This window comes from Homo sapiens, chromosome 13 (assembly GCF_000001405.40).
Source record: "Homo sapiens chromosome 13, GRCh38.p14 Primary Assembly".
In the NCBI taxonomy this organism is placed as follows: domain Eukaryota; kingdom Metazoa; phylum Chordata; class Mammalia; order Primates; family Hominidae; genus Homo; species Homo sapiens.
In genome coordinates, this window is record NC_000013.11 from 60695859 (window position 1) to 60718928 (window position 23070).

The following is a 23070-nucleotide window of genomic DNA, read 5'->3' on the forward strand; positions in this document are numbered from 1 at the left end:
GACTGTTCTCAAAGTTAATATAATTGAATTAATTCTGACATGCCACATTTATATATACTGAGGCTTTTTGTTTTTAAAAGAAAATAAAAATGTGATATTATTCTTCTCAACATAATAAATTCCATAATGCTTTATCTTAATAAGCAATTATCTATAATAAACAATCTTTCACTATTATGGGCATTGGACTCTGAAAATTTATTTTGGTTACAGATCTCTGTAAAGAATATTATTAAGTCATAATGAATCAAAGGAGCTTGATTCCTTTGCAAGGTGCGATTGGGGTAGATATATATTACTTTTATTGCATTCACATTTCTCAGGCGCTGATGCATTTTTCCTATGGGTTCTTCTCTTAGGAGCTATGCAGACATCTGGACTGTGAAAAATATCTAAGTAATAACAAGGCAAACATTTTTACTTACATAATTCTTATATCAAACATGCCCGTTGACAAAAAGGAAGAAGCTTTATCATAAAGGGAAAGTTTTGTTAAAGTAAAAAATTGCAGCAGTATCTGAGTCCCACAGCAGCTCCTCTTCTTCATATTCACCAATAAATTTCTCCAGTGATATGGTCTGTGTCAGACAAACTTTTCATATGGAAAAAATCTCAGAATTTACCTTCTTCTAGTGTGGTCCATCCACCTCTTGTTTTCTGCTGGTCATTTGTCCCTTTGCCCTTTCCCTGCCCTGTTATTGAGGATCACTTCTGTTTGGCAGCAAATACACAAAAACAGAATGCCCATTTCCTGCCCGAGTGATCTTTCTAAATGCATAATGGACCATGTCACTCTTCAGTTTAAAATCATTCGGAGGTCTCTTTGTTGTCCTAAGTTTGAATTCCCAAAGCTCTGCTCTGAGTTTGCTGTTCTCATGGTTATCAGTCTTCAAGTGATCCTCATTGCCTATGAAACAGCATTTGAGTAGGAAATACAGCCTGCAGCCAGATTAAAGAGCATCTCGTGCCAAACCACAAATTTTATTTCATCTGATGCATCTTCACATGAGCACCAGCCAAAACGAATTCATTGTTTTCTCTGAATTTCAGACCTTTTCTGCTTTCACGATTTTTTTAGGTAAAAAGGATCTGTGCATATCCAAAATCATTAGGTATTGTGAAATTGCTCTGAGGCGTGAGTGTACTGATTTTACTCCTAAGAATAGGGTATGAGTTCCTATTGTGCCATGGTCTTCTCGGCACTTGATAATATTGGATGGGTATAAAATGGCAACTTGTTTTAGTTTTTTATACACTTCCCTGATTTCTAGTGAGGTTGAACATCTTTTCATATATTTATTGATTATTTGAGTTTTCCCTTTTATGAATTACCTTTTAATATCATGCCCATATTTCTTTCTTTCTCCCTTCCTTTCTCCCTTCCTTTCTTCCTTCCTTTCTTCTTTCCCTTCCTTCCCTTCCTTCCTTTCCTTCTCTTCCTTCTCTTCCTTCTCTTTCTTCCCTTCCTTCCCTTCCTCCCTTCCCTCCCTTCCCTTCCTTCCCTTCCTCCTTTCCTCCCTTCCTTTCCCCTCTCTCTCTCTCACTCTGAAACAGGGTCTCACTCTGTCAACTAGGCTGGAGTGTAGTGGCACGATCATAGCTCACTGCAGCCTTGAACTCCTGGGCTCTAATGATCTTCCTATTTTAGCTTCCCAAAGTGCTGGGATTACAGGCATAAATGACCGCACCTGGCAATGCCCATGTTTTTCTATTGGCTTGCTCATTGTAGATATTGATCTCTTCGAGGCTGAGTTGGTTACAGTCTTCTTTCAGCCAGATATTTATGTTTTGACTTTTTTTCTTTTAATATTGCCATTTGATATGCAGAAATTCCTAATTGCAGTGTAGCCTAACTTATTGATCTTTTTCTTTATGATTCAGTTTTTGGTGTTTTGAAAAGCAATATTCTATTATTTTTCCCACCTAAATGTTCTAAAGTTTAATGCTAATTTTTATGTCCTTAAAGCCCCTGGAATTTATTTTCATTCATGATGTGAGAAAGGAGTCCAACTTTTTTCCCATATGCTAACCAGTTATCTGAGCACCATTTATTGAATTGTCCATGTTTTCTTGGCTGATCTCCAATGATATTTCTTTCATATATCAAGGTACCAAATGTGGAAACATCTGTTTCTGGGCTTCTATTCTCTGTTTCAATATCTTGCTGTCTTCAAATAGTTTTATTTATAATAACACCTGCTACAAGATAGAGTGACTCCTCTTTTCTTCTCTTCAAAATTGTTTCTTTGTGTTTTAACACACATTTTAGAATCAGCTTGTCAAGATTTAAAATTAGACAAACACATCCAGATCATATTTAAAATTGTATTTAATTTATAGATTTCTCTTCTCAAACTGCAGGAAAAATGGGTCTGATTGTCCTTTGTTTTCTATCTACCATCCTAGGAACAACTGTATCTTAAATCTAAAGAGCCCTATATTCACCCTCCAGGGGCAAGCTCCCCTTAGTGCATCAGAGGAGATCTGCTCTGTAACAGTGACCACTGGAGACTTTCTAGTACCTCCACTCTAACTAGTCCAAAGGAGAAAAACCAAGCAAGTTTATTTTCCGGCAGGGTGCCCCATAAAATGAAGACTGGCAAAAATAACAAAAGAGCACAAACCAGTACAATCAGGATACAGTTGATGTTGAGATTCCATTTACATTCTTTGCAAGCCTTCTTGCTTCCTATCTCTGTCATCACGTAACATCCTTTACCATAGGAAGAGGAGGTGGAATAAGAGAAATAGGATGCAACTTTAAGAAGGTGGGAGGGTAAGGTATGAAATTGACTTATCGAATATTATATTTAGACGGAATTTTAAAGATTGTGTGATCTAGTCCACCCATTTTATTTTCTTTTATAGATGAGTAAAATGGTGACCCTAAGAGATTAAGTAGCTAGTCTAAAGTGTTCTAACTAGTAAATGGAAGAGCCAGGATTATTAGAGTATCTGGTTCATTGCCCTTTACTCTTTAAATGAAAATATTTAAAGGGCTATAAAAAGAATTTTTATTACTGTGTTTTAATTAGAAGAATAGCTGCTTATTACCCAAATTTACCTTTTCTACTCATTTTACCATTATTTTGAATATCTTCGTGTTTTTAGAACTCCGAATTTCTCCTGGTACAAGACAGTCTGCTCTGATAGCATTCTCTTTCTCTCTCTCTCTATTCTGTTGTTGTTGCATGAATAATACAAGAACAACCATTGCTTATTAATTTGTGTGGATGTGTAGCTATATTTATTTTTCTGATTGGCTTTAAGTCTTAGGCTGTTAGGAAAGTGTTCATAGGAATTTTTATTCATTAAATACAGGTAATGTGTTAGATTAAAGCATTAGTAAATGATTTCTGCACATTTTTCTTTCCTGTTTCCTGGTTAAAAGATATTAAAACTATTTCCTCTATTACTGGTTCTAGTTATTCAGACATAATTATTAGCATGCAGAAAAATGAGTTTTTATCTGTACTTCCAAATGGTAGTATATTTTATTTAAGTATGCCTTAAAATTATGTTAGGGTAAGACAGAATTATAACTGGAAATCATTTGGTCTAGAAAAATTGAGTAAGATGGAAATTTGGGGCACATGCTGAGTAGAGGAAATAGCAAATGAAGCTGCACTTTTGTGGAGCAAAGTTTGACACAAAGAGGGAAAGACTATCCTTTCAGCATAGAATCTTGCTACATACTCAACATTTCTTTGAGTATGCAGCAAATCCGTAACTTCTTCAGTGAGCTTCCTGTTGTGTATTTATAAGTCCAGTCCTATTTGTCTAATTTAAAGCTTCTTCTCTTCCCAGGCTCAGAAGCCTGCAATGGGGAGTGGGGCAAGCATCTTTGTCCTAATCCCACCCCACTCATTCTGCTGTTTCTGGGTCCTTTAGGGTCAGAGTGAAAGGGGAGCCGCAACTTGGAGGAAAAGGACAAAGGTTTATTCAACTGGGGTACTGTGATCTGGCAGAGCTGCCTTCTGTGAGATGACGTCACAAAAAAATTTTAAAGATGTACTTATTTATTAGAAATACTATTTCTTCATCTCTTTTTCACCCTTTAAAAGTTGTATAATTTTATATTTTTTTTAATTGGCAAATAATAATTGTACATATTTATGGGGTACTTGGTGATGTTTTAACACATATAATGTATAGTGATCAGATTAGGGTAATTGTATTCACCATCTCAAACATTTATCATTTCTTCATGTTGGGAACATTTAATATTCTCCTTCTAGATGTTTGAAACTATATGTTACCATTAACAGCTTTAGGGTTTCAGCTGAACCTCTGAGACAATAGGAAATTTTCCACTTAGTAGAGTTACTTAGGCCATGATGCTTTCCTGGGTTGGTTTGATATCCAGCATTGGAAGACGTCAAAATTAGTTTCTGTGATCAGGTTTGAGTCACCACTGCAGAGACAGCATCTTGATGTTTAGGCTTTGGGCTTTTGGTTTGTAGCCCAGGCTGGATGTGTGTGCATTTGTGTGGGGGTGTGCATGTGTGCATGTTGTGGCAAAGGGTAGTGTATTTGTCGAGGCTCTCCAAAAAAGCAGTCCTTTTGAATTGGCTCTTGTAATTGCAGGAACTGGCAAGTCTAAAACTTTTAGTGCAGGAGAGTAGGTTGAAAATTTAGGCAAGAGTTGATGTCAAAGTCTTGAGTCTGAAATCTGCAGACCAGACCAGCAGGCTGGAAATTCAGGCAAGATTTCTATGTTGCAGTTTGGAGACAGAATTCCTTCTTCTTTGGAAAACCTCAGTCTTTTCTCTTAATAACTTCAACTGATTGGAAGAGTCTCACCCATATTACAGATGGTTTTCTGTTTTACTTAAAGTCAGTGATATTAAATGTTAATCACATCTAAAGAACACTTTCGCAGCAACACCTAGATTAATGTTTGATCAGATACCTGAGTACCATAGAGCCTGACCAAGTTGATGCATAGAATTAGCCTTCATAAGTTGATAGCATGTTGAGTCTTCTTTTTCTTCATTCTGCTTCTCAACAATGACTGAGGCTGAGGCATGTAATACTAGCCCAAGCACTCAGTTTCTCTTTTCCATGGACAAAATGACATCAAATTTAAATTAAAACACTCTTATTAATGTCATTCTTTGGTTAACCTCTGTCTTCTCTACTAGACTATGAGCTACTGAATAGCAGATATTGAATCTGCTTTTGCTTGCCATTTTATCTCCAGGGCCACATTAAAAAAAATTTTTTTGGAGAGTAAATGAGGGAGTAGTTGTGTTTGTCCAGCACATTTTTACCAGAGTAGAAAAGCAGACACAGGGAAAGAGACCTAGGCAGAGACAGTGATCAGGCATTTTTGGCGTGGAGTACTCCGTGATTCACACTCCAACACTGAGCAAAGCGGCTGGCAGTAAAAGAAACTGTCAGGGTGAGAATGTCCTTAACAGACATGTTGCTCTTTGACGTTGTTTTTCTTTGCTTGGCCACTATTTGTAAAAAGAAGGAAGAAGAATTTATGATGAAGAAACAAGAGATTGTATTCTCATAATTTACAAACAGAATTAAAGTTCACTTGTTAAAACTTGAAGTGGAAGAATGTTTCAAAGAGCTTTTGAAGCTAAGTTCATTTGAAACTAAGTCTTAAAAACCACATGTTCTCGCTTATGAGTGGGAGCTAACCAATTGGTATACATGGACATACAGAGTGGAATAATAGACATCAGAGACTCCAAAAGATGGGAGGAGGAGAGGGGGCTGAGGGATGAAATACTACCTATTGGGTACAATGTACAGTATTAGTGTGATGGTGACACTAGAAGGCCAGACTTCAGCACTACGCAAAATATCCATGTAACACAACTGCACTTGTACCCCTAAATCTATAAAAATAAAACACAAAATGTAAAAAAAAAAAAAAAAAAACACAATAAAAAACAAAGCCTGAGAATTCAACGAATCAAGAAACTAGGAGAATGTGTTGTGTATATGCCCTAAAGGAGTTGACAGACTGATTTGAAAGCTATTATGTGCTTTGTGGTCATTGCATGAGAGGAAATCATGAGATTATGGGAAACAAATCATAGACTTTCCTGTCCTTTCTGTTTTCATACACTAATTCATTGAGTCCTGTTTCATCATTATTCTTCCTTTAAACATCCTCTTACAGCCACCTAATATCCTGGATAGAACAAGAGTGACAGAATAGACTAGCCTGGGTTTTCGTCAATCAGGATTTATGGCTTTGTACTCAGCCCCAGGCTCCTTTAATGTCTTCCCTGAGCCTTCGCAGATAGGCTGTGCACATGGAGAGTGAGTGCAGAGTGGTTACCATTGAGCTCATAATTGAGTTCAAGGAGGAGTGATAGGAGAGAAGATCAAACTTACTCATTGCCTGCTGAGTGCAAACACGATAGTGGGTGATCTGTTCTGCAACATCTCACTTAATTCATGGAAATTAGCTATTATTTAATTGGAACTGAGGTTCAGAAAAGTTTAGTGATTTTCTAGATTCTTAGCTAGAAACTAGTGGATTCAAGATTGAAATCTATTTGCTCTGGTTTCAAAGCCCAGATTTTTCTTGCTCTTTCACATTGATTCCTGTTCATGACACAAGACAATATAGGTTCTTTCTTAAATATCTCCCAGGAAATGACAATTGATTCTGTGATATAACAAGAAAAAGTGTCAATGCCCCAAATAACATTTTTAGCCTTTGATTCGTCGTTAGAGCATGAAATTACACATACACATGTGTACACACATATACACACTTCCACCTCACCCCCATTACTTCTGAATGTGCAAGCACTTCATATACCTTGCATGCATCATCACCTATAGTCTTGCCAACGGTCCTGTAGTGTAGGCACTGTCATTCTTATTTTTGAAGAAGAAATTGAGACTCAGATGATTTTCCTAAAGCTACATAGTAGGACAGAGAGCTGAGATGGGCACCCACATATCTGTGTACCCAAAGCTAACTGCTCTTAACCACTATGATATATTGCCATTCATTTATTTATTAATTTAACAAGTATTTGAGTGCTTTCTCTATTCTACACTATACTAGACAACGTGCATACAACAATGAAAATTACTTCTTGTTTTTTTTTTTCAACTTTTATTTTAGAGTCGTAGGGTACATATGCAAGTTTATTATATGGGTATATTGTGTGATGCTGACGTTTGGGGTATGAATCATCCTGTTACCCAGGTACTGAGCATAGTACTCAATAGTTAGTTTTTCAACCCTTGCTCCCCTTCCTCCCTCCTCCCTCGGGTAGTCCCCAGAGTCTTTTGTTCCCATCTTTATGTCCATGAGTAGCCATTGTTTAGTGCGCACTTATAAGAAAAGAACGTGTAGTATTTGGTTTTCTGTTCCTGTGGTAATTCACTTAGGATAATAACCTCCAAAGAACATGATTTCATTCAGTTTTATGGCTACATAGTATTCCATGGTGTATATGTACCACATTTTCTTTGTTGAGTCCATTGAGCCCATGGTGGGCACCTAGGTTGATTCCATGTCTTTGCTATTGTGAATAGTGGTGCAATGAACATGAGAGCACATGTAGAGAGCGATTTGTTTTCTTTTGGATATATATCCGGTAATGGGATTGCAGGGTTGGATGGTAGTTCTAAGTTCTTTGAGAAATTTTCAAACTGCTTGCCATAGTAGCTGAACTAATTTTTATTCCTACAAACTGTATAAATGTTCCCTATTCTTTGCAGCCTTATTAGCATCTTTTTTTTTTTTTGACTTTTTAGTAATAGCCATTCTGACTAATGTGAGATGCTGCTCCTCATTGTGGTTTTGATTTGCCATTTCTCTGATGATTATAAAATCACCTATCTTTTAACCTAAGGGAGTTCAGCCAGGTAGGGAAAACAGACACATAATCAGGCAATGGTAATAACATTTGGTAAAGCAATGATGAATATGTATTCAGGACTGTAATATGCAGATATGTGTAGGAACTATACATATCTCCCTCATGGCAGCTCAGAGGAGAGATGCCTAATTTGGTCTTTGCTGCAGTGCTTGGGATTGAGGATTATGTCACGAAGGGATTCTTCTGGGAGAAGGTGACTCTTCTTTCATATGAATCTTAATTAGTGATAAAAAGCTTACCAGTTAGAGACAGCTGAAATGGAGAAAGCACTACACATAGAGGGAATTGTGTGGTCCAAGCACAGAGAAGACACCAAGTGTGGTATGTTTTGTAGAAAGATTGTAAGAAGTTCAGTGATGCTGGAGTGAGAGAGCGAGGCAGGGAATTATGAGCAATGAGGTCAAAGAGATTTTTGGCTGCATTAAGGAGCTTGAACTTTTCTAGATCAATGGTTATGGATCTCTGAGAATTTGATTAAATCTACTTATCCCAGAAAAATGGTGTGCGTCCAAGATTGCACAGTCATATACACTATCCCCCTGAACACATGCTATATACTTTTACAATTTTAAATATGAATCATGTATTTTTGGGTGGAGAGTTCTGTAGATATCTATAAGGTCCATTTGATCCAGTGCTGAGATGAGGTCCTGATATCTTTGTTAATTTTTTGTCTTGATGCTCTAATACTGTCAGTGGAGTGTGAAAGTTTCCCACTATTAATGTGTAGGAGTCTAAGTCTCTTTTAAGGTCTCTAAGAACTTGCTTTATCAATCTGAGTGTTTCTGTGTTGGGTACATATATATTTAGGATAATTAGATCTTCTTGTTGAATTGAAACTTTTACCATTATGTAATGATCTTGTCTTTTTTGATCTTTGCTGGTTTAAAGTCTGTTTTGTCAGAAAGTAGGATTGCAACCCCTACTTTTTGTTTTGCATTTGCTTGGTAGATTTTTCTCCATCTCTTCATTTTTAGCCTATGTATGTCATTGCGTGTAAAGACAGAAATACCACTGGACTCAGCAATCCCATGACTGAGTATGTACCCAAAGGAATATAAGTTGTTCTATTATAAAGATACATGCACATGTATGTTCATTATCAAGACACATGCAGCACTGTTCACAATAACAAAGGCATGGAATTGACCTAAATGCCCATCAGTGATAGACTGGATAAAGAAAATGTGGTATATATACACTATGGAATACTATGCATCCATAAAAAGAACCAGGTCATGTGCTTTGCAGGGACATGGATGGAGCCAGAGGCCATTATCCTTAGCAAACTAATGCAGGAACAAAAAACCATATACTGCATGTTCTCACTTTTAAGTGGCAACTAAATGTTGAGAACACATGGATACGTAGAAAGGAACAACATACACCAAGGCCTATCAGAGGGTAGAAGGTGTGAGGAGGGAGGGGATCAGGAAGAATAACTAATGGGTACTAGGCTTAATACCTAGGTGAGGAAATAATCTGTACAACAAACCCTCATGAAACAAGTTCACCTATGTACCAAACCTGCACATGTATCCCTGAACTTAAAAGTTAAATATTTTAAATGACCAAAAAAAAATCATGCGGATCTATAGAATCCCCAAAGTTGATGTGGCCCACAGACCTAGATTAAGAGAAAGTCCTCCTCTAGAGAATGTTAGAGTGAAATGTAGTTAGAAATGGAGGAACCTGGGATAGTTGATGGTTGACTTTTTTCTGAGAACAGTTTTTGTGTGTAAATAAACACAATAAATAAATAAATTTGAGGTCCTTTCGTCATCTCAGATGTTTCTTCACTCAGATCTTGAGCTGATATCTAAAAGAAAAAGAATGAAGAAAGTGGAAGGAAAGGCAACATTCTTAGGGTGTCTACTGAGTCCTAAGTACTTGGCAAACTTTATCTCATTGAATTCTCACAATAGAATACAAAAAATAAGGAAAAGGAAATTGAAGTAGCTAAAGGAACTTCTCTAACTTTACTCAGCAAGTTAAAGGAAGAGCCAGGATATGAAATTGGAATTATCTTTTTCTCAAGCCCCACGCTTTGTCTATGAGACTACTTAATATCTCTGGAATGGGAAGAAGATGATTGTACATGACATATTCCTCTACTTTTTCTTACCTAAGGTACTTACTAGAAAAAGCTCAAAATCACCACCACTAAACGCCTATGTAAGAAAACAGTTTTGTGCTTTAATTGTCCTCTGCTTTTGGAGTTTTATTTACTGTATGAGTTTCATCTAAGTTCATAAAAGTCAATAAACTCAATATTCCAGAAACCACTTGCAATTTAACATCTAGATAATTAGGGTAACAAAAACAAGTTAATTCAATGTTGGTTTTTGATGGTGATTAACTTACTTCCATTTCTTTACCTAAAGCAAGAAAGAGTTCAGAAATAAAGTAATGGGAATCTGCTGCACTCAAGGAGATAGATGCAAGAACAAAAGATTTGTTATGAAACCCTTAAAAATCACAGTGCCCTTTTAGCTAATTATAGTGACTTAATTAAAGTTATTTTTAAGTAATAGTTAATTATGCTTAATTAAAGTAATTACATAATTAGCCAGGAGAATTTGAATGAACCATAATGTAGATATGTTTGGCCTCTGAGGATCAAGTATACTAGTTTGCATAAATCCAAAAACATCTCCATAGTGTGCATGGAACAAGATATGAAATAAAGCCTAGGTTATGGTTTCAACTGCACAAAACTACTACTAACAATGAATAAATTTATGCATGATTCCACATAGTGTACTACTGTGCTTTCAAAAAATATAACGTGAGATTATATTAGATTTGATTTCTTTTAATGTAGGTTTACTTTGGGGAAGCAAATTAATATTAAATGTCTAACAGTCAATGCTGTTTGTGTTTTTAAAGTCTAAATTATCTTTTTACATCCATGCATTATTCAAATTTACCAGATGCTATAGGGATTCTGGCTGACTTTAGGAAAGCTCTAGCATTTTGTTTGATGTGGAGACACAATTTGAACTGAAATATCTGGGCCTAGCATAGCTACTGTCCTGTTCTCGATTTAATAATAAAAGCTACTGGATCCATAGGCAAATGTGTAGCCTTCCCTGGGCCTTGGTAGTGCTTGTTAACAACCTCCCTTAATAGCTTCTTGGCTTTGCTGTTGCTGGGATATGCCATTATTTAGGAGAATTCCCAAGGAATTATTATTGTGTCAATAGTTCTTAAAGTACAGTATCCCAGAATCGTCTAAGTTGTGTGCTTACAGGCTACTTTTCATCTCTTCTGGATAAGCATTTTCCCCCTAGATGAGCCTCCCAGCAAGGTCATAGTCATAAAAAGTCTGTGATTGATCTAAGCTGCTGCCTAGATTTTCTGGCTCCTCAAGTTTTTTATTCAATTTTCTGGTGGGCAGTTGCTACTCTTTCTCTTTAACAAAGGATATTATTAAAAAAGCTGTGGTCTCAGCCCATAAATGAATGTTAAGCAGACAGTGAGATTTTAGTATTTTTTTTTTTCCTTGTATGTAGTCACACTGGGATAGAAGAGAGGGATGATGGTCTCCGAGAATCGAGCCATAAGAGGAGAGCTCAGCTCTCAGGCTGAGCTCTTTTAAAAGTGCTGACATTCACCATCACCTCTCAGGAATTCTGTTTTGTAGTGGTGGGCACATTATTAGTTCCTAGTAGAAAAAGATCACAGCAATAGGTACTCCTAATAGAGTCTCTTACCTCCTCAAAGGCTCGTGACATCTCCTGAGACTCTCTGAGACCCAGTAGATGAGAAGTTCAAAGTATTGATGAGTTCTTAAAATGAACATTTTTTTCTCATTTAAAATATATTTTATTTAACCACTACAGTAATTATTTCATTAATTACTGTGTAATTTCAAGACTGATGCATGTTCATTGTAAAAGGAAAGAGACCCCAGAGAAAATCAAATAAAAATCCATGAACAGAGTAAACCGTTCTGCAGACCATAGGGATTGGTTTAGCTGTGGTCCTGCAAAGGTTAAGTAGGCAAATAGAACAATTTGCCAAACTGATATACAAATATCTAGAAATGGAAATGCCCTTGTGCACACGATGCTAGGTTGACAGGGTGTGAATGTAGAGCTGTTGGTGAGTCATCTTCCACCCCATGTGGAGGGAGACTTTGCAGGTCCAAATGAACACAGAGAAAAGCAGAGTTGAGAGAAGAAGAGAAAGAGCCTTAATGGTGTCACTTGAGCCCAAATATTTTACTATTTCTGCAAAAGTCCACTATTAGATTCCTTTTGTTGCTTAAACTGGTTTGAGCTCTTGGCTTCTGTAACTTGCAGTTGAAAGGGTGAGACAATACTTGCATGCCTTTGTCTTATTGTGAAGCACTGTGCATTCCATAAATTCCCAGTGACCTGGGGAATGACTGTCATGAGGTCATGGTTGAGCTTCAATGTGAAATGCAACTGGAAGTACCAGAGAAAAAGAGAGAATTTCTAATATGAGAAATAAAGATGAAGGGAGACTGAAACTAAATATTTATTAAATACAAATGGGAGAATGGTAACTTTACAGTGGAGAAACCTAAATGACAACACCTTAACCAAGTGATCAAATTAACATCACCAGTTAAGGCATATTGATATCATGTATCCCTTGATATGATTCATTGAGAAGAGCATATCACATCTCTGGTATCCTTTCCAACCATTCCTAACTCAATCTAATCATGAAAAAGCATCAGACAAGCCCAAATTGAGAGAAATTCTACAAAATGACTGATGCTCTTCAAAAGTGTTAAGATCATGATAGAGAAAGACAGGAACAGCTATAGATTAGAGGAAGCTAAGAAGACATGATATCTAAATGCAATATGAGTTGCAGTATCAACTTGATGCAATTTAATGCAATATTAATTAGATTCTTAAAGAGGACATTCACAGACAAAAAGTGGTGAAGTCTGAATGAAGTCTGTAGCATAGTTAATAATATTGTACCAATGCACTTAGGGGAAGCTGGTTGAAGGGTATATGGGAACTCTCTGAATTACTTTTGCAACTCTTACATGAGTCTAGAATTCCTTCAAGATAAAAAGTTAGGACAAATAGTACACACAGCAAGAAAAAAGAGTGGAGGAGATAATAAGGGTGATAGAAATGAAAGAGAAGTGGTGTTGATGACCGTAGAAAGCCCTTGCATAGGGGCAGAATATTTCTCTAGCTTTAGTGGAGAGGAAGAGCTATCCAGTAGGAGCTGTTGGATGGAACCTCTTCCTCTATCTCCTTCATTCCATTAAGGTCCTGCTTTCTGCCTCAGGACTTCATGACACATTTGGCTAATATCTGGCAGATTATTCTTCAATATTCTTAGTCTCTAGAGCTATTGAAATTCTTCATTCCTCCTTGTCTATTCATTAGTATTTGAATGGAAAGTTAGGAGAAGGAATTCGTATTTTCTCATTGTCTTTATTGGCAATGTCAATATGATCAGGCATCTGTATTTTCTCATCGTCTTTATTGAGTAGGAGTACTTTTATATAATCCAAGGAGTCCATTATGTAGATGAATATTACAGTGATTCCTCATTGGACGGAAGCAGATTGCATTATTCTTTGTAATTCACATAATTAGAATAGTACTTGGAACATAAGTAGATGCTCAGTCAATATCAATGTGTCTATAAAATAATTTTTGATGTCAGCTACATATTTGAAATCTTACTGAATATTTATAAAGATGTAGTGAACTTTGCAAACATATTTTTATTAAACATGTAATTTGTACCAGCCACTATGCTAAGTGGCTTAAATAGCCATTCACTTTTTCAGTCTTCAAAACACCTATGAGGCAGTATTATCGTTTTACAGATGAGGGAAATGGGGCCCACAGAGGTTAAATAACTTGCCCATTTTACACTAAGTTGCCAGCCTAGACTTCTAGCCCTTCTTTGTCTGACTCATACCTTCATATTCCTGACTACTATACTCTACTGCCTTTCTGAAAAGATGTTAAGCATTCTCAATCAGTTTCAAAACTGATACATTTAAAGTGAATAATTGAGGGGGAGAAGCCAAGATGGCCGAATAGGAACAGCTCCAGTCTACAGCTCCCAGCGTGAGCGATGCAGAAGACGGGTGATTTCTGCATTTCCATCTGAGGTACCGGGTTCATCTCACTAGGGAGTGCCAGACAGTGGACACAGGTCAGTGGGTGCGTGCACCATGTGCAAGCCGAAGCAGGGTGAGGCATTGCCTCACTTGGGAAGTGCAAGGGGTCAGGGAGTTCCCTTTCCTAGTCAAAGAAAGGGGTGATGTACAGCACCTGTAAAATCGGGTCACTCCCACCCGAATACTGTGCTTTTCCGACAGGCTTAAAAAACAGCGCACCACAAGATTATATCCCGCACCTGGCTTGGAGGATCCTATGCCCACGGAGTCTTGCTGATTGCTAGCACAGCAGTCTGAGATCAAACTGCAAGGCAGCAGCGAGGCTGGGGGAGGGGCGCCAGCCATTGCCCAGGCTTGCTTAGGTAAACAAAGCAGCCAGGAAGCTCGAACTGGGTGGAGCCCACCACAGCTCAAGGAGGCCTGCCTGCCTCTGTAGGCTCCACCTCTGGGGGCAGGGCACAGACAAACAAAAAGACAGCAGTAACCTCTGCAGACTTAAATGCCCCTGTCTGACAGCTTTGAAGAGAGCAGTGGTTCTCCCAGTACGCAGCTGGAGATCTGAATGGGCAGACTGCCTCCTCAAGTGGGTCCCTGACCCCTGACCCCGAGCAGCCTAACTGGGAGGCACCCCCCCAGCAGGGGCACACTGACGCCTCACATGGCAGGGTACTCCAACAGACCTGCAGCTGAGGGTCCTGTCTGTTAGAAGGAAAACTAACAAACAGAAAGGACATCCACACCAAAAACCCATCTGTACATCACCATCATCAAACACCAAAAGTAGATAAAACCACAAAGATGGGGAAAAAACAGACAGAAAAAATGGAAACTCTAAAAAGCAGAGCGCCTCTCCTCCTCCAAAGGAATGCAGTTCCTCACCAGCAATGGAACAAAGCTGGATGGAGAACGACTTTGACGAGCTGAGAGAAAGCTTCAGACGATCAAATTACTCTGAGCTACAGGAGGACATTCAAACCAAAGGCAAAGAAGTTGAAAACTTTGAAAAAAATTTAGAAGAATGTATAACTAGAATAACCAATACAGAGAAGTGCTTAAAGGAGCTGATGGAGCTGAAAACCAAGGCTCGAGAACTACGTGAAGAATGCGGAAGACTCAGGAGCGGATGCGATCAACTGGAAGAAAGGGTATCAGCAATGGAAGATGAAATGAATGAAATGAAGCGAGAAGAGAAGTTTAGAGAAAAAAGAATAAAAAGAAATGAGCAAAGCCTCCAAGAAATATGGGACTATGTGAAAAGACCAAATCTACGTCTGATTGGTGTACCTGAAAGTGACGGGGAGAATGGAACCAAGTTGGAAAACACTCTGCAGGATATTATCCAGGAGAACTTCCCCAATCTAGCAAGGCAGGCTGACATTCTGATTCAGGAAATAGAGAGAACACCACAAAGATACTCCTCGAGAAGAGCAACTCCAAGACACATAATTGTCAGATTCACCAAAGTTGAAATGAAGGAAAAAATGTTAAGGGCAGCCAGAGAGAAAGGTTGGGTTACCCTCAAAGGGAAGCCCATCAGACTAACAGCAGATCTCTCGGCAGAAACCCTACAAGCCAGAAGAGAGTGGGGGCCAATATTCAACATTCTTAAAGAAAAGAATTTTCAATCCAGAATTTCATATCCAGCCAAACTAAGCTTCATAAGTGAAGGAGAAATAAAATACTTTACAGACAAGCAAATGCTGAGAGATTTTGTCACCACCAGGCCTGCCCTACAAGAGCTCCTGAAGGAAGCACTAAACATGGAAAGGAACAACCGGTACCAGCCGCTGCAAAATCATGCCAAAATGTAAAGACCATGGAGACTAGGAAGAAACTGCATCAACTAATGAGCAAAATAACCAGCTAACATCATCATGACAGGATCAAATTCACACATAACAATATTAACTTTAAATGTAAATGGACTAAATGCTCCAATTAAAAGACACAGACTGGCAAATTGGATAAAGAGTCAAGACCCATCAGTGTGCTGTATTCAGGAAACCCATCTCACGTGCAGAGACACACATAGGCTCAAAATAAAAGGATGGAGGAAGATCTACCAAGCAAATGGAAAACAAAAAAAGGCAGGGGTTGCAATCCTAGTCTCTGATAAAACAGACTTTAAACCAATAAAGATCAAAAGAGACAAAGAAGGCCATTACATAATGGTAAAGGGATCAATTCAACAAGAAGAGCTAACTATCCTAAATATATATGCACCCAATACAGGAGTACCCAGATTCCTAAAGCAAGTCCTGAGTGACCTACAAGGAGACTTAGACTCCCACACAATAATAATGGGAGACTTTAACACCCCACTGTCAACATTAGACAGATCAACAAGACAGAAAGTCAACAAGGATACTCAGGAATTGAACTCAGCTCTGCACCAAGCGGACCTAATAGACATCTACAGAACTCTCCACCCAAAATCAACAGAATATACATTTTTTTCAGCACCACACCACACCTATTCCAAAATTGACCACATACTTGGAAGTAAGGCTCTCCTCAGCAAATGTAAAAGAACAGAAATTATAACAAACTATCTCTCAGACCACAGTGCAATCAAACTGGAACTCAGGATTAAGAATCTCACTCAAAACTGCTCAACTCCATGGAAACTGAACAACCTGCTCCTGAATGACTACTGGTTACATAACGAAATGAAGGCAGAAATAAAGATGTTCTTTGAAACCAACGAGAACAAAGACACAACATACCAGAATCTCTGGGTCGCATTCAAAGCAGTGTGTAGAGGGAAATTTATAGCACTAAATGTCCACAAGAGAAAGCAGGAAAGATCCAAAATTGACACCCTAACATCACAATTAAAAGAACTAGAGAAGCAAGAACAAACACATTCAAAAGCTAGCAGAAGGCAAGAAATAACTAAAATCAGAGCAGAACTGAAGGAAATAGAGACACAAAAAACCCTTCAAAAAATTAATGAATCCAGGAGCTGGTTTTTTGAAAGGATCAACAAAATTGATAGACCACTAGCAAGACTAATAAAGAAAAAGAGAGAGAAGAATCAAATAGATGCAATAAAAAATGATAAAGGGGATATCACCACTGATCCCACAGAAATACAAACTACCATCAGAGAATACTACAAACACCTCTACGCAAATAAACTAGAAAATCTAGAAGAAATGGATAAACTCCTCGACACATACACCCTCCCAGGACTAAACCAGGAAGAAGTTGAATCTCTGAATAGACCAATAACAGGATCTGAAATTGTGGCAATAATCAATAGCTTACCAACCAAAAAGAGTCCAGGACCACCAGATGGATTCACAGCCGAATTCTACCAGAGGTACAAGGAGGAACTGGTACCATTCCTTCTGAAGCTATTCCAATCAATAGAAAAAGAGGGAATCCTCCCTAATTCATTTTATGAGGCCAGCATCATTCTGATACCAAAGCCTGGCAGAGACACAACCAAAAAAGAGAATTTTAGACCAATATCCTTGATGAACATTGATGCAAAAATCCTCAATAAAATACTGGCAAAACGAATCCAGCAGCACATCAAAAAGCTTATCCACCATGATCAAGTGGGCTTCATCCCTGGGATGCAAGGCTGGTTCAATATACACAAATCAATAAATGTAATCCAGTATATAAACAGAGCCAAAGACAAAAACCGCATGATTATCTCAATAGATGCAGAAAAGGCCTTTGACAAAATTCAACAATGCTTCATGCTAAAAACTCTCAATAAATTAGGTATTGATGGGATGTATTTCAAAATAATAAGAGCTATCTATGACAAACCCACAGCCAATATCATACTGAATGGGCAAAAACTGGAAGCATTCTCTTTGAAAACTGGCACAAGACAGGGATGCCCTCTCTCACCGCTCCTATTCAACATAGTGTTGGAAGTTCTGGCCAGGCCAATCAGGCAGGAGAAGGAAATAAAGGGTATTCAATTAGGAAAAGAGGAAGTCAAATTGTCCCTGTTTGCAGACGACATGATTGTATATCTAGAAAACCCCATCGTCTCAGCCCAAAATCTCCTTAAGCTGATAAGCAACTTTAGCAAAGTCTCAGGATACAAAATCAATGTACAAAAATCACAAGCATTCTTATACACCAACAACAGACAAACAGAGAGCCAAATCATGAGTGAACTCCCATTCACAATTGCTTCAAAGAGAATAAAATACCTAGGAAACCAACTTAACAAGGGATGTGAAGGACCTCTTCAAGGAGAACTACAAACCACTGCTCAATGAAATAAAAGAGGATACAAACAAATGGAAGAACATTCCATGCTCATGGGTAGGAAGAATCAATATCATGAAAATGGCCATACTGCCCAAGGTAATTTACAGATTCAATGCCATCCCCATCAAGCTACCAATGACTTTCTTCACAGAATTGGAAAAAAACTACTTTAAAGTTCATATGGAACCAAAAAAGAGCCCGCATCACCAAGTCAATCCTAAGCCAAAAGAACAAAGCTGGAGGCATCACACTACCTGACTTCAAACTATACTACAAGGCTACAGTAACCAAAACAGCATGGTACTGGTACCAAAACAGAGATATAGATCAATGGAACAGAACAGAGCCCTCAGAAATAATGCCACATATCTACAACTATCTGATCTTTGACAAACCTGAGAAAAACAAGCAATGGGGAAAGGATTCCCTATTTAATAAATGGTGCTGGGAAAACTGGCTAGCCATATGCAGAAAGCTGAAACTGGTTCCCTTCCTTACACCTTATACAAAAATCAATTCAAGATGGATTAAAGACTTAAACGTTAGACCTAAAACCATAAAAACCCTAGAAGAAAACCTAGGCATTACCATTCAGGACATAGGCACGGGCAAGGACTTCATGTCTAAAACACCAAAAGCAATGGCAACAAAAGCCAAAATTGACAAATGGGATCTAATTAAACTAAAGAGCTTCTGTACAGCAAAAGAAACTACCATCAGAGTGAACAGGCAACCTACAAAATGGGAGAAAATTTTTGCAACCTACTCATCTGACAAAGGGCTAATATCCAGAATCTACAATGAACTCAAACAAATTTACAAGAAAAAAACAAACAACCCCATCAAAAAGTGGGTGAAGGACATGAACAGACACTTCTCAAAAGAAGACATTCATGCAGCCAAAAGACACATGAAAAAATGCTCATCATCACTGGCCATCAGAGAAATGCAAATCAAAACCACAATGAGATACCATCTCACACCAGTTAGAATGGCAATCATTAAAAAGTCAGGAAACAACAGGTGCTGGAGAGGATGTGGAGAAATAGGAACACTTTTACACTGTTGGTGGGACTGTAAACTAGTTCAACCATTGTAGAAGTCAGTGTGGCAATTCCTCAGGGATCTAGAACTAGAAATACCATTTGACCCAGGCATCCCATTACTGGGTATATACCCAAAGGACTGTAAATCATGCTGCTATAAAGACACATGCACACGTATGTTTATTGTGGCACTATTCACAATAGCAAAGACTTGGAACCAACCCAAATGTCCAACAATGATAGACTGGATTAAGAAAATGTGGCACATATACACCATGGACTACTATGCAGCCATAAAAAATGATGAGTTCATGTCCTTTGTAGGGACATGGATGAAATTGGAAATCATCATTCTCAGTAAACTATCGCAAGAACAAAAAACCAAACACCGCATATTCTCACTCATAGGTGGGAATTGAACAATGAGATCACATGGACACAGGAAGGGGAACATCACACTCTGGGGACTGTTGTGGGGTGGGGGGAGGGGGGAGGGATGGCATTGGGAGATATACCTAATGTTAGATGACGAGTTAGTGGGTGCAGCGCACCAGCGTGGCACATGTATACATATGTAACTAACCTGCACAATGTGCACATGTACCCTAAAACTTAAAGTATTATAATAATAAAAGAAAATAAATTTTAAAAAAAAGTGAATAATTGTATGATTTTGGTTTAAAAATATAAATGGGAGACCATCACGCAATAATTCTAATATTAGAAGCAATATATCCATTTGGCTACTAAATGCTTTGCTGTACTTCTGTTTGCTTTATATGTGCTTATATCCTTTGTAATATATCTGAAATATTAAGAAAAAAAGATAGGCATTAAGTATACAGCTGCTTTTCAGTCTTAGATATGGTGCTAAGGTTGTTAGCTCTATAGCTCTACAGAGACAGTCTCACCAGAGTTGATGATCTGAGATGGTCACACTGATGGGAATATATATGAAAGGCAAAAATAAGCACACGTATGTGCACACACACACACACACACACCACTAAGTCAGGATATGAATATATGTTAAGGTCTTATGTAATATGCAAGTACCTTTAAGTGAATTTTTGAATGCTCTTAAATACAATTAGAAAACAGCACAGAATCAAAGTTTTTATGATACTCAAAAAGGTTAAAATTTCTAGGATTTTGTCTTGGTAGTTTGTTTTCTATTATAGTGCCCATTATTTTTTATGTGTTGTAAAATAAGCACTTAAAGAGCCAAGCAGGGGTCCCTTTTCTTTCTATATCTTATTTCTTTTCTCAATGGTCATTGCAAGACAAACACATCATTAAACACACAGAAGCCTTACTATTGCGTAATATTTTGTGTCAAGCAGATATCTCTGGAGCAGTCAAGGCAGTTTGTTCCTTTGAGTGCCAGAAGGACCTTGCTGTAGCTCTGCTTTATCTACTATAGTTTCTCAGCAAGGGCAGCCTTATGGGATGTATTCAGGTTGCCAGTCGATAAAAATGAGAATTTCTTCACCCTCTACAAGTTTTATGTCACTGCTGGAGAATGGGAGTTTCTGTTGCTGCAACAAGTTAGTATTCAACTAAAATGTGATCATTTCAAAATGAATAGTGAATTTGTATTACTGAGGATTGCCCCCTTAGGAAGCCAGTGTGCTTTGGTGCCACTGGCATAATCGGCAGCTCTGGACTGGTCTAGTCTGATGTAAGATTAGAGCCATCTAAGGAGAGCTCAAAGGCATCTTGTGCTGTCAGGGACCAATCCAGTGAATCAGAGTGGCAGCTGAGATGGAAAAAAGGCAGCTGCTGGGCCAACACCATGAGACTCAGAGTTATTTTTAAGGAAGCTCAACTGAATTATTTCTTTTCAATGTGTGGCTCTCTGTGAATAGAATGCAGTGACATTGGGTGAAAAGGATAGACTTTATCAGGATTTGGCTGACTGAGTTATGGGGCAGGTATGCATGCTGGGAAGAGCAGGGATGGATGGATTGGAATAAAATATGACCAGTGGTCCAAGCTACTTCACAGCACCACAAAGCCATCTGTTAGGGCTCAACTTAGCATGACCATCATCTCCTGTAGGAAAAGCCAGAGTAAGGGTGCAAAGTTATAGGTGCATGAAGGGAGTTCAAGAAAAATGCTCAATTTCAAAGAAAAATTAAAATGAGCTAACCACTGGAATTTAACAAGTTAATGTCAACACACAATCATCTACAAAGGGGCAGGTCAGCAATTTGTTTTTAACAACTAGACATGTTTTTAAAGAGGAAAATTACTTGGTAAGAATTATATCTTCTATCATTTTCTGTCATCTTATGATGTGGATATTTATGGAATTAAAAATCACAGTGTCTCAGATCAGGTCGAATGTTCAGATTTATGTTAAGACCAGACATTTCCTGTAGTGGTTGGATCAGAGAGAGCCCAGGCCCTTTGTATCCCAGGCAGATGGTCTGAATATGGAGAGAGAGATGACATGGAAGATACGGTTTAAGGCTTTTTGTTTGTTTTTTTGGATTCTTGGTAAAGGAGGTGATATGGTTTGGCTATGTCCCCACCCAAATCTTATCTTGAATTGTAGGTACCATAATTCCCACATCTTGTGGGAGGGACCTGCTGGGAGATAACTGAATCATGGGGCCAGTTTCTCTCATACTGTTCTCATGGTAGTGAATAAGTCTCACGAGATCTGATGATTTTATAAGGTGTTTCCCCTTTCACTTGGCTCTCATTCTCTCTCTTGCTTGTGGCCAGGTAAGATGTCCCTTGCTCTTTTGCCATGATTGTGAAGACTCCCAGCCACAGGGAGCTGTGAGCAATTAAACCTCTTTCCTTTACAAATTACCCGCTCTCAGATGCATCTTTATTAGCAGTGTGAGAATGGACTAAATAGGAGGATTCCTGATTATTTTGTAGGAGCTTTATAAGTATGAAAATGCTATAGTCTTTTCTTTTGTCTCAGCCAACTCATTAATGTTTTTATAGTGAAAAGTTTTCCCTGGTATATTTTTCTGACTGTACCCTCTACCGCGCCATCACCACATAAACAGAAAGGTACCACTTTTTGTCTAGCGTGAGATTCAATAAACATGAGTTGAATGTGTGAGAGGAGAACATGACTCTGTGTATGTGGCAAGAGAACAGACACATAAATAAAACCCAGAACTCTTACACAATGCTCCTTCCCCTTCTACCTTCAATTACTCTTCTATTTCTCCTTGTTATCATTTTCTCAAGTACAGCCTCTTTTTTTCAGAGGAAAAATCACTCATGTCAGGGTTCAATAGTCCTTTACAGGTGTTGATGGATTCCACCATTAATGGCCACTAGAGGTGAGACTGAACACCTAGGAGAGCCAGAGATGAGCTGGTATCTTGGTGCAGGTAACATGGACTGTGGCCATGTGTAGAAATCAATCCTCAGGCTTTCAGTCATGTTAAAACTGGTTATCGAAAGTTTAAGGCGAAGTAGGAATGGGGGAGCAAGTCAGAAAGTCAAAGCAAGTCATGTCAAGAATGGATTGTGCCTCAGTGCTTTTCGTGAAACAGCTCCAATAATAATCAGCTATTCCAATCTCTATCTCACTTCGTGATTTGACTCTATTGGGCATTCTTACTCAGGATGTTAAAAAGCTAGAGTTACATGATTCAAGTATAAAAAAGGAAAAAAGAAAGGAATAGCCTATATCATCAGCTGCCCTTCTTCTTCCAGTTCTTTCACCAGAGTGGAATATTTGCATGAGTATTTATATATATTTACACTTGGGATAGACGAGGCTTACGGGAAATGTGGCTTTGATTGC

General features: G+C 38.2%; 3 annotated features.

Annotated features, from left to right (window-relative positions):
• Nucleotides 532-1068: an enhancer, noted in NCBI's record as "OCT4-NANOG hESC enhancer chr13:61270524-61271060 (GRCh37/hg19 assembly coordinates)". NCBI's record gives its function as "activates a minimal SCP1, AML or CMV promoter by ChIP-STARR-seq in primed H9 embryonic stem cells {active_cell/tissue: H9 hESC(primed)}" and the evidence as "EXISTENCE:reporter gene assay evidence [ECO:0000049][PMID:30033119]".
• Nucleotides 13830-14330: an enhancer, noted in NCBI's record as "NANOG-H3K4me1 hESC enhancer chr13:61283822-61284322 (GRCh37/hg19 assembly coordinates)". NCBI's record gives its function as "activates a minimal SCP1, AML or CMV promoter by ChIP-STARR-seq in naive H9 embryonic stem cells {active_cell/tissue: H9 hESC(naive)}" and the evidence as "EXISTENCE:reporter gene assay evidence [ECO:0000049][PMID:30033119]".
• Nucleotides 14331-14831: an enhancer, noted in NCBI's record as "NANOG-H3K4me1 hESC enhancer chr13:61284323-61284823 (GRCh37/hg19 assembly coordinates)". NCBI's record gives its function as "activates a minimal SCP1, AML or CMV promoter by ChIP-STARR-seq in naive H9 embryonic stem cells {active_cell/tissue: H9 hESC(naive)}" and the evidence as "EXISTENCE:reporter gene assay evidence [ECO:0000049][PMID:30033119]".